The 12,895-nt window shown below is 34.5% G+C and overlaps 2 protein-coding genes across 3 annotated transcripts in view; one reads left to right on the forward strand and one right to left on the reverse strand.

Annotated features, from left to right (window-relative positions):
* DCBLD1 (discoidin, CUB and LCCL domain containing 1) overlaps nt 1-11,216 on the forward strand; it is an 87,185-nt gene extending 75,969 nt beyond the window's left edge. The window contains exon 15 of the mRNA NM_173674.3: nt 10,978-11,216. Coding sequence (NP_775945.1) covers nt 10,978-10,982 — 5 coding nt within the window. The 3' untranslated portion in view covers nt 10,983-11,216. The remainder of the gene's footprint in view (nt 1-10,977) is intronic.
* Nucleotides 1,627-12,895, reverse strand: part of GOPC (golgi associated PDZ and coiled-coil motif containing) — a 42,243-nt gene continuing 30,974 nt past the window's right edge. For both annotated transcript variants that reach the window (NM_001017408.3, NM_020399.4), the window contains 4 exons: nt 12,218-12,313; nt 10,930-11,094; nt 8,212-8,392; nt 1,627-4,742 (listed from right to left, as the gene is read on the reverse strand). In NM_001017408.3, coding sequence (NP_001017408.1) covers nt 4,612-4,742; nt 8,212-8,392; nt 10,930-11,094; nt 12,218-12,313 — 573 coding nt within the window. In that variant the 3' untranslated portion in view covers nt 1,627-4,611. The remainder of the gene's footprint in view (nt 4,743-8,211; nt 8,393-10,929; nt 11,095-12,217; nt 12,314-12,895) is intronic.

Below are 12,895 nucleotides of genomic sequence, written 5' to 3' on the forward strand. Positions count from 1 at the left end.
AGCTCCAAGATTCATTTCCCAATGGAGTCACACAGGACATGCTTAATTCCTCTAGCAATAATGTGTAACAATACATCAAGTGTTGTCCACCTAGGAAGCTTGCCTGACTGAACCTAGGAGTCAAGGTTTTAGGGAAGTCAGTGTAGGTACCCTCTGCCTAGCATGTACCAAAATTCTAGATTCCCAGAGGAAAGTAAGTGTTCAACAAAAATCCTACTGTTTGTACAAACACTTCAGGCACAGTAAACCGCACTTACCAGCAAGGGGATAATGGGAATACTCCTGATATCCAAATTGCTGGACGCTAGCCAAGGTCCAACCTTGCAAGCAGACCTAAAGACAACAGGTTCAGGCCTGTTCTGTTAACTCTTTTCTGCACACCATTTGTGAAATAGCCACTGAGCCATGATTTTGTGCCAACGACTAGATAAACTATACTCACCAACCAGATGTCACTGTCTTTACCCTTTGGGTGGGTTCCTAATGCCCATCTTATTACCTGTTTCCTCAAATCTCACTCATGGTCACTTGTGTTAATCTAGCCTCTCTAAGAAGCAGACGCCAACACCAAAAAGGGATCTGCTGTGCAACAGATTTATTAACGGCAATGCCAGTGAGGAAAAATAGGTAGGAAGCTGGAGTTGATTGGAGGCTGGAAGGCAATGAGATCACAATGGAGTTAAGACCCAAGGTGAATGAAAGGAGGAAGGAAGGTTGGGTGAAAGCAACTTGGACTACAATGTAATCCTAAGGGAGTTTGGCAAGACCATCGTGGAGTGCTCCAGCTAAAGTTGAGGAGTCATCATATAATATCCCTGTCATAATCAGTCACTGACTGGCAGCAGCATGGAGGAGCATAGCCTCACCATGTACACAGGGATGGATTTCAGACCACAGCAGCTGGACCTTCAGTAAGCTATGCTCCCTCCTGCACGAGAACTGACAGATGCATTCTCATGGCTGCTGCCGTGGTGATTATAGCTCTCAAATCACACCTGAAAAAGGTTCATTATTGAACAAATATTCAGCACCAACAGTGCACGGTAATTTGCAATACTTTTAAAGTGTTTCTTTAAGGTTAGTTATAAAACCACCTAAAATAAAATACTGATTAACAATGAAAATACAAGTTCTCTTTAAAATTTCATAAACTGACCAAAAAAAAATTCATAAATTGACCAATATCCTATGGGGTTGTATTCTGGGGAAAAGACTTCTTTTCAAATCACTTGGTGAATTGGGAGCTTAAATCAACACACGGAAAGCATATATGTATTAGCACTAAATCAAGGTTAGTCAGTGACAAAAATGTATTTCTAATGTTCATAACATTTCTAAATGTTCATAACTCAAGTAATTCATTTACAAGTATTTTCCAAAAATTATTTTACATATAACTTAGGAACTTCTAAATCATATATACTTAGATGTCAAAATGGAAGAATACCCTTTTAAATAGTATCTTAAAAACAGGATTGATTTTCTAACTTTCATCAATGTTTTCCTCATAGATAACAACAGCTGGCAATATTTATAACACAAAATTAAGCCAAGTCCTTTGCACAGACTTTATGACATGTTGGTACAAATAATAGAACTACTAGAAATAAATAACAAGCCAAAATATTTAACGTCAAGGAAACAAAATGTTTATTTAAAAAAATGAGATCAATATCATTTTAATGTAGAAGATGCCATCTTTATTTACAGGCTAATAAAAAAATATTAAACTCAACTAGATATAATACATTATCATAAATGCAATAGATTTGAGGCCAACCATAAGTGTAAGACTGGATAGATGGAATAGGGATTACATAATCAGGATGTCAAATACTGTGCATCTTACACATGAATCACATGAAACCTTTTTGTTTCTAAACATGAAAACAGCATAAGTCCACTGCAGTGGGGAAAAAAACAGCACCACAGACAAGCTGTGCTAACTTTCGATAGCTGTTGACTTGTAATTATCAAGACTCACAAAATTTTCGTCTTTCTCAAATTTATTTTAACAATAGTCTCACCACCAAAATGTTGCTTTTCCATCATATTCATAACAGAGATACTGTAGAAGAGAATTTTAGAGGTTAAGTGTAAATATATACACGCACACATACAACCCTCACATTTTATTAAAACGTTTTCTCAACCATTCTGTTTGTGTATACATGTGTGTATTTCTCCTTCTGTCCCCTTCTCGATGAAATGGCTTTGCAACAGTTCCCTCCTTACTTGTTTGGTTTTGTCCTAGAAGTTTCAGGGACATATGAATTTCTTTCCTATAAATGTGAAAATATTAAAATTGGTTCTCAGTCCTTTGGAACTAATAACTAATTCTTAGTTCATCCCCAAAAACCATACATTCTAAAATGAACTTTTAACTAGTTACTTTCTAACACCGGACAGGAAGCTCACAGTAGCATCTGAGCAACGGTGCTCTCCCGTAGGCTTATAAACCACAGTGAAGCAGGAATGAAAAGGAAACTGACCTGTGGAGTTTTAAACTACCTGGAAACTTTTCATTCTATTTATCAGTCCTTAAAAGGAATTTATATCATGACAATCTCACACAATTCTTCAAATTACACAGTGACCTCATAAAAATTCCAACTTGAAGTTTTAAAAAACCACCTCTTCATACACTTATTCGGTAGTTCTTGAAAATCAAAGGGTTATAGCTTACATTTCCTAAGGATTCAGTCATAGCAGATAAAGGATGTTCTCTGAAAAAAATGCCATGGCCATTCCATCCCAGGCTGTGTTTTAAGAAGATAAGAATAACATGGTTTCATGTCACAGCAAAAAGGTTTTCGGGTCTGCTACAATGGACAATTTTTTTGACTAAATAAATACGGTGGCTAAAATCCAGTTTGCAGATCTCATGTCATGCATGGAAGGTATGTGTTTGGCATAGGGGATTCATAAAGAAAAAACAAGTTGTTTTTTTTCTTTTAAGAGGCCTACCCTGTCAAGAGCAAACAATAACATGTAACTTGCTTATTCATTTGTACAATTAAATACTAGCTTTTGCTCAGAGACAATGCTATAAAGTATTTTAATGTCAGTAACAATATACACTACGAAGTGCACTTCCATTACAAATTAACATGGTGATATACAGATGAACACCACCACCCAAAACAAACCATAAATGAGCAACAGTTAAAACATTAAATTTATAAATAGCAAAACCACAAAATAAAGTATATACATTTTATAGATTTACCCTTGAACAAATATATAGTGTATCTGGGAAAGCCAAAAAAAATGTGTTTTATCACATAACATCTGAATACCAGAAATGAAGATACTGATAATATTCTAAAAGCCTTGTAGGCTTTCTCCCACTTAATATTCCTTTAACTGTACGTCCTTTAAAACAGTGATATTAGCAAAGCTATCACCTCTTTAATGCAATGTTGTGACTTTGCCTAGCAGGTTACAATGACCTGCAGAATATTAAATCAGAGAGGAGGCACTCCATGTTTAATCATGGGACAACAGACCTAACAAATTTATAAACCTGCATATGAAGAGAGCTTTAGTCAAACATAAACTGACATGAAAACCCAACCAAAACAATTACTGTATCAAAATGTCTTTATCTCATCTTGCCCACCTTTTAGATGACTGGAAATCATTTACTTAGAAAGAAAACTGCCGTTTGATTTGAATGTACTGTGTTTCATGACATAGTAATAAATCTGAACTTTTACTACCAGAAAAATTTGTCTTTAAGTGCCAGGACTATCACAAGACAAACTTTATGAACAACTCAAAATGTATAAAACTGTCTTTTGTGGACCCCAGAAAACAAGCATTTGAGGCTCAACATGAATGGGTAAATGCTCCAGTACTGCGCACACAGATCAACATAATTGAGAACAGATGTTTTACACTCATCTGCATTTCTTTTAAAAAACAAAAAAAGTAAAATGTTTAGTAACTTTTGAGAATCTATTTCTAGTGCAGCATTGATTGATAAAAGACTGCTTAAAGAAAACTATTTTGTACTGCATTGAATAAAGCTGAAATGCAAACTCATTACAATAAATGATCATTAATAATTGGTTTAGATTTTAGGATGCACAATAAATTTTTTTAAGTCTAAAGCCTTTCAGTTACAAAAATTAAGTCAAGCCTATATTTCTACAATTCATTGAGTCAAGCTCTGTCTTCTGAAATACCACAGTTAACATTCTAGAATATAAAATATGAATTCACTTACTCTCTGTATTTTAAAGGGTACTCCTTATAAAATTCCAGTTAGCACTGTCCTCCTACTAAAGGGAAAAGGAACCAAGTAAAACAGTAGGGTTTCATTTGGTACTTAAGAGCCCAGTAATACCCCTTTGGGAAACACATGCTTTGGTGCTTACAAGTTCAAGAAAATCAAAATTGCTTTACATGCAATAGCTAATTATGGTCTACCACAGAAAACAGGGTGTTTTATGCATTGAGAATTGTTCACATGAAGCCCTGAGGTACCCGCCTTTCATTTAGGCAACAAACAGCCTCCCCTGATTTTGTAGTCTTTGTCACCATCTTCCCCAGTGCCCCAAATTCAGAATAGTCTGATTAACAATCTTGTCTGGAGATATGGTCAATTTAATAAGATTTTTTATGATACAGAGTGTGCAGATCATCTAATTTTGAAGCACCGTCATCTAGCGGAGTTTCACTTGCAGTGCCCAGGTCTCCATTTTCATGTGTGTCAGTTACTGCCTTCTTATTAAATCCTGAAAGAAAGGAGAAAAAAAAAGCAGACACTTTCTGGTTTAAAAAGTTGGTTTTGGTCAGGTGCAGTGGCTCATACCTGTAATCCCAGCACTTTGAGAGGCCAAGGTGGGTGGATAACCTGAGGTTAGGGGTTCGAGACCAGCCTGGACAATGTGGTGAAACCCCGTCTCTATTAAAAATACAAAAATTCGCCGGGCATGGTGGCACATGCCTGTAATCCCAGCTATTTGGGAGACTGAGGAAGGAGAATCACTTGAAGCCAGGAAGTGGAGGTTGCAGTGAGCTGAGATCGTACCACCGCACTCTAGCCTGGGTGACAGAGTGAAACTCTGTCTCGATTAAAAAAATTAAAAAAAAAAAAAAAGTTAGTTGTATAAGTTTATTGAGTGAAAAACAAAGGAATGCCCAAGTAATTAACATTAGTAATCTGAGGCAAAAATAATGCCTTATATTAATCAAATCAGTAATTCCTAACAGGGGAATTCTTCCCTCTTATGGCAGGTATCAAATATTGTACAGATTTAAAAATACTATATTGGGCTTATGTAAAAATTGTATTAAGTTTCCTATCAAGTTTTCCTTTCCTTTTTTTTTTTTCTTTTTTTTTTCTGAGACAGGGTCTCACTCTATTGCCCAGGCTGGATTGCAGTGGCATGATTACGGCTCACTGCTGCCTTGACCTCCTAGGCTCAAGCAATCCTTCCACCTCAGCCTCCTGAGTAGCTGGAGCTACAAGCATGTGCCACCATGTCCAGCTATATTTTAAAAATTTTTTTGAAGAGACAGGGTTCACTATGTTGCCCAGGTTGGTAACTCCTGGCCTCAAGCGATCCTCCTGCCTTGGCCTCCCAAAGTGCTTGAATTACAGGCATGAGCCACCATCAAGCTGTCTGTAAGACTTAGAAGTAATACATATAATTGTAAAATTCAGTCAATTCTACTTATATAAATATCTACTGAACTGTGAATTATATTTTTATTTTTCATTGTTGCTTTCATATTACATTAACTTCAGTTAACTGAGGCATATACTAGTTAATTGCTTAAAATGTAATTTGTTGGCAAGATGATGTCTAGCTAAAACTTAAAACGAATTCTGATCATCTATAAAATAAATAATAGGCTTATAAATAAATAAGTGTTGACTATATCACCTATTTAGGTGATATATATATCTATAAAGTATAGACGTGTGAAACAATAACCAATAGATACATTTTTTTAAGTGAGTCAGTTAAAAGATATATACACACAAATTTTTAGTTGAGTCACATTTTAAGTGTCTGCAATTTGCATATGTGACAGAGAAGACTTCTAGCCTCAGTTACAAAAAAAAGGAAGAGACAGGCTTTCTAATCCCGACAGAAAACAGCAAGTGTGAAATACAATGAAACCATATGGAGAGCAGCCCAACAATTAAGGTTTTGACATACTGCCACAATAGTTTTGCTCAAGATGCACAGTGAAAACAGTAACTGCTACTGCTATCTTTGTGCAGACAGTTTACAACACACAAGTTTATCAAAAGTGCAACAGTTTATCAGTTCACCATAAAACTCCATGCCAGGAGTTCAACATTTTGGTCTCAGGAGGCCTTTATACTAAGCATTGAGGACTCCAAGAAGCTTCTGTTTATGTGGATTATAGCTACTGATGTTTCCCATATTAGTAGGTAAAATTGAAAAATCTAAAAAAAAATTCATTTCTTTGTTAAAAATGACAATAAATCCAGAAGGTTAATATAAATAACATTTGTCTAATGACAAATAACTCTATGTTCCAAACAAAAAAATTCTAGTTAGAAGAGTAGCATTATTTTACAATTTTACAAATCTCTTCAATGGCTTTGTAGATGATAGCTGTATTTTCATATATCTGCTTCCATTCAATCTATTACAAGTATATGAAGAAAGTTCAGCCTCACACAGATATGTAGTTGCTAAATGGAAGAGTATTTTAACAGCCTTTTCAGATAACTGTCAGTATTGTTCTCTGATATTATACAAAAATTTGACAATGTGGAATTTGAAACCTTATCAGTGAACTTTTCACACTCTGTTATATTAAAATCCATTTGCCTATCTTGCATTTTGAATGGATCTTTTCCCATGCAAAATTTTATAACTTCATTTACTGGTGATTTGAAAAATATTGGACCATGAAGTTATGTAGCAATTCCAAAAGTTGACACATTTCACTTTACTGTATCAAAAAATCACATTCATTAATATCATCATCAATCTCATCAGAAAAGCTTAAGTGTTAGGAAGCTGTCAAGCTCATGGTGATCAACGTATGTTTTACAAAGTTCTAACTTTCACTTGAGAGCTCACATTTTATCACTGGCAATAAATATTATCAGTTGTCTTTCCTGAAGTGATGGACTTTGTTCATTTTTAAGAAAATGGCTTCCAAATAGTCCGAAAATCCATACTTTGTTAGTCATTCATTCAAGTAAAAATTGTCTTCCATGAAGAAAAATGGCTAGTTCAGTCACTTATGTACTTTCCCTTGAAACCAGCATCTTTGTTCAGTGTGCAGAGTAAGTGCTTTATGCATACTTCCCATCTCATCACAAAGAATATTAAAAAGACAGGTACTCAAAGGTCAATATTTAAAAATTAACTGTTACTGCCATTTCATCAAAGATATTTTTAAGCAAAATTGGTATCTTCTTCTTTTACTATGAATGGATGGCAAGGAAGAAAACAATGATTACTAGTACAGTTACTAGTATTAGCAACACTGCCTTGATTAGTGCTAAGGCACCAGCAGTTTTACCCCAATTGCTTTTGCATCAACCAGATACCATCAGTGCAAATATCAACATAGCAAAAAAAGACAAATGATGTCTTAGTATTATTATGAAAAGCTTTGACCTCATGAACTCTGCTAAAATATCTCAGAGACCCTCAGAGATCCACAGATCACAATTTGAGGACCACTGCTCTATGTAAAAGGAAGTGCTAGAGTTTTTCCTTAAAATATGTCTAAATGATAGCAAAGGAACTAAACCAAACATCCCCAAGATAATATAAGTTGATTCTAATAGCAATCATAAGGTGACAGTATACTTCATACTTATTCATAATTAGCTTAAAATTCATTGTGAGAGATGAATTTGCATCAAGACAGACAGACAATGTAGTCTACAAGATAGATCTACTCAAAATAGTATATTGGTCTTTGTTTCAGAGTCTAGAAAAAATTTTATTTATTTTTCAAGGATCACTTGCAGTAGAGTAACTGGTAATGTACTTGTCTTAACAGTCCAAGATGAATATAGAAGAACATATATGGTAAATAAACTGTTAGCATAGTATACAATAAAACAATAAACAAGGGAAAGCTCTTCATTCCTTTGATTTCCTCACAAAACAGTTTTACTGAAGAAATTCTGAGGCCTTCACATTTTAAACATTTAATAATAATGAATATGTTAATAATAATTTTTAGAGTGATTTTTACCTTGTAATACTTTGATTTCCCCACTTGTGTCTTTGCAACTAGCACCAGGGTTACCACCTCCTTCTAACTCATCAAGGTACAAACGGTAACGATGTCCACTCTCATCTTCATACTCTACGTTTTCATCATCAGAATCCACTTCAGGAGCCACATAAACTACTTCAAATTCAATCTCTCCTCTCTAAAACAGGAAATGAAAATGAGAAAGTCAAGTTATTGTAATTGTAATTTAAAAAGGATTTCCAAATTCTTTGTGGGAAGGCTTAGGGGTAGAGAGATCTAAGAGATAGCTGATTTCCAGAAAATAAATAATAAAATTCTAGAATCTAAAGAGGTAGTGAGGCCATCATGTCTGATCAGCCTCGTGAATCCTCTCTACAGTTCCTTTAAACATTATAGTAGCTCTTTCTACTGACCATAGTCTTTTTGCTAATAGATCTAAAATTTAAGAGGATGCTTAATTATTAAATTTATAGAATTTTGGAACAAGTATTCAGTTTTAAAGTTATTTGCTACTTTGTACTGCACACAGCAATTCAGCAAATACATCTAAATAGTCAGATATTAAATAAGGATATCATACAAACCTTTCCTTAACTAATTCAAGAAACCCCTAGAAAATGATTTTTGTACACTGCCATAAGGACATCATATAAATCTTTTCTTAACTAATTCAAGAAACTCCTACAAAATGATTTTTTGTTTCTTATTCAATAGGTCTTGAGTAAGAACTTACACTGAGTACCAGACACAGACATAGTGTTAATCAAGGTATTCTGTCTCGTACTAATAGTAATTACTATATTTATATATTTACTATAAATTATAGCCTTCAATCCCCAGAATAATCCTATTATAGTCTCTTTTACATGAACGAGAAAGCTGAGTGAGTCCTGCAGAAAGCAGATAACTTTCCCTACATAATGAACAAGAATAAAGAAAAACAAAAGTTTGACTCTGAAGTCCTTAATCTTTATATTATGCTAGACTAACTGTGTAATATTTGTACTGTCATTCTTTAACAATGAAACATTCAAGTAAAAAGTTACAGATCATGCCAGGCACAGTGGCTTACACCTGTAATCCCAGCACTTTGGGAGGCTGAGGCAGGTGGATCGCTTGAGCTCAGGAATTCTAGACCAGCCTGGGCAACATGGCAAAACCCATCTCTACAAAAAAAAAAAAAAAAAAAAAAATTAGCTGGCCATGGTGGCAGGCATCTGTAGTCTTAGCTACTCAGGGGGCTGAGGTCGGAGGATCTGTTTGAGCCTGGGAGGTTGAGGCTGCAGTGGTCCGTAATTGTGCCACTGCACTCCAGCCTGGGTGACAAAGTGAGATCCTGGCTCCAAAAAAGAAAAAAATGTTACAGATCGTTTTATGTTAAAAGAAAAATTTCCAAGCTATAATTGTCATTTAATAAGAGACTCCAACCACTACATATAAGTGTGGTGTTGGCAATTCTGAAAACTATGGCTTGCCTTTGCTCAAAAGAAAACACGGCATTTTTGACTGCTACTCACTAAGTTAGTCTCTTTGGTGCTCTTCTTTCCCAGCAGTTTAAGGTTATACCTCAGAATTTTAATATGTGCTTAGTTAGCATTTCCTTAAAACTTATGGCTGCCCATTGATAGCTCCTTCACCAGTTATCCCACTCTTTTGCTACTGGATGACAGTCAAGATGGATTGATAAAACACTAACTTAAGAGAATAGCGTAGCATTCTTAGATCTCTCTTGTCAGCTAATGCTTTAAAAATACCATTTTGCAGAAAGAGACAGATGATGCAGTGGTCTTCAGCAAAGTTTTAGATGACAGAATTAGATCTGTGAGTAGCTGTCATGGAGACACAGATTTCAGGCTTAATATGAGAAAAAGCTTTCTAAAAATCAGTACTGTATTACAATGGAATGGACTGGTTGATATCAGCAAGTCTTCCCTGTAATGTAATTATTGAAGTAGTGATGTTGCAAAGATTTATGCATCATATAGAATTGAACCAATGAACAATATTCACTTTCAACTCTGAGATGCAATTCTACAGAGGCATACCACACTGATAATCCAAGAAACATCTCAATGTACTACCAATGCCTCTAATTCCCTCAACTCTATTCTTGAAAGAAATAAAATAAAACAACATTTTAAGTACAACTGTATGACAAATATGACTCCTGAGTATGAATCTCAATTCTATAATTTATTTGCTTGGCAACTTTGAGTAAATCCTTTCATCGCTAAGAACTTTAGTTTACTCATTTTAAGAGAGTTGGGCTAGATAGTTTCTATGTGTGATTTCAATTTTAATATTCCATGACTAAAATCAATCTACTTCTAGCACTGTCTTTTCTGTAATACCTTATATATAGTGTTCTAGGCATTAAGGATGTTGTTTTTTCAGTCTCAGGTCCTGTTCTGAGTACTTTATATGTATTAACATACTTAATCCTCACAGCTTTCTTTCAATCCCTCCCACACAGGTGAGGACACTGAGGGACAGAGGACTTAAGTAACTTGCTCAAAGTTATGAAGTAAACAAAATGGAATGGTCCATTTTCAGTAAATCTGACTGAATGTCAGCTATAAAAGCATTAAATCAAAGGAAACAAGAACTATGTGTAAACACTTTACTACTTTAGAAACTTCGTAGGGAAGTATACAGTGTTCAATAGATTCATAACCAATTGATAGATCCAGTTCTAATTACATGAAGGGAATTTACCTGCTGAGAAAGAATAGTTACAGCTTCTTTATGCTTTGTGTCCCTTAGGTTAACTCCGTTGACTGCCAAAATAGCATCCCCAACGTGCAGCCCTCCGCATCTATCAGCAGGTTGCCCCGGATGGATCTCAGAGATGAGGATTGGAACACCATGTTCTTTCCCACCCTAACAACAACAAAGGGCAGTAAATTAAAGTACTCTTTGTAAGGTACAGTTACCGATTAATCTAGAGATAAAATATTTTCTTAAAAATATATTTCATTAAACACCTATGCTGTCTCTATAAATGCTGGGTAAAATTTTATTTGCTACTTAAGTAATGGTAAAAATTATCAGAGTATTGAACAGAAATTGGCTAAATTCTTAAATTAAAAAAAACTTATGTGTTAGTACTCCATAGCACCATTACATTTTATCAAGTCTAAATCACTACGAATGACAAGACCAATTATTTTAGGTGCCACAAAAATAATTTTAAGATTATAAGATAAATTTCAATTTCAGAGAAGTTAAAATATGAAAATATATGCAATGTAGAATTGAAAAAATGCAGTATTTGGTACCTATCACTCTCTAGCTTATATCATTGTTGCGTGTGTGTAGGGGTGTGTGTGTGTGTCTTATTTGTCCTGCTAAAATGTATGCTCTTTGAAGGCAGCACATAAAAAAAAAAAAGGTAAGTATTCAAGAAATATAGATTAGATGAGCTTTTTATTATAAGAAACATTTCTACATTAAGCAATACTAAAAAAACAAATGATCTTGCTCAGTGCCTAAGTATTACCAAATGAAAATTAAAGCCACCTTATTCATTAAAGCACTGAGATGACAACAAAATGACTCCTAAAGGCATCGAATTTAAAAAAAAGAATATATAACATTTGGACCCAAGAGCCAGTGAAATCTGACAGCTAATAAATGAGGCAAGAGAAAGATACACGTACTCCGAGAGAGAACAATACAATCTGAAGCCATTTAACATAGAAGAAAACAGCCACGTCTATTCCCAAGGGCTCCTAGAGGCATCACAGTATATGGCACAGAACTATTAAGTGAATCATAATAAAAATGTTAAACTATGCTTACTAAAGGTACACTTAATAGTTGCTAGGAATATTTATTTCTTAAAAAAATATTTACACAAAAGCAAACATTTATCCCCATGGGGATAAATTTTAGTTATTTAAAAAATATATCCAGAATATTCTGTTCCCCAGTGATGTCCAACAAAGGAGCATGATTATACTAGATAACTGTAGAAAATGATACTGGAAGTACTACTTCTTACTGTAATTGAAATGCCAAGGCCTTCATGATCTTCCTTAAGGAGGAGAACTTTTCTAATTGGACCAACACCTTGGCTTTTCTTTAGGGAATCTTGATCCTTATTGGGAGGAAAAAAGAAGAAAAAGTAGTATCATTTAAATAGCATACCAAATAGAGTAAACTCATACTATATAACTTGCTTTTAGAAATCTGTATTAACTTCCTGGAATGGATAAACAGTATAGGGTTAAGAAAGTAACAGATAAAATGGAAAAATGAAAATAGCTATTCTGTTGATGCAAAATTTATAGATGATATTCTCACCCTTTTGCCAATAATGTTTAAAATATTGATACATCTCTTTTTAAATTGTAGGGCATTATAAAAGAAATGATTTCCAGGAATTAATTGAGGAACAAATATCCTCAAAAAATAAAAGTGTCTATCTTCACTGGATATCTTTAAGATATACATTCATTTTAGCTGAGTTGTAGAGTTGAAAAACAAATTTCCAATTGGACCATTAATTACTTATACATTCCTTGGTGCTCTGGAGTCTACCTCTTAAATAAAGGGCCTTGATCCACTAATAATCTTTTCTCTGGTACCCTTACTCTTTCTGTCTCTACTAAGCTGTTTTCCTACTCAGCAGATAAATGAATCACAAGCCTCTTCCAGTTTTAAAATACTGATCATGTGC

This window comes from Homo sapiens, chromosome 6 (genome assembly GCF_000001405.40).
Source record: "Homo sapiens chromosome 6, GRCh38.p14 Primary Assembly".
Taxonomy (NCBI): domain Eukaryota; kingdom Metazoa; phylum Chordata; class Mammalia; order Primates; family Hominidae; genus Homo; species Homo sapiens.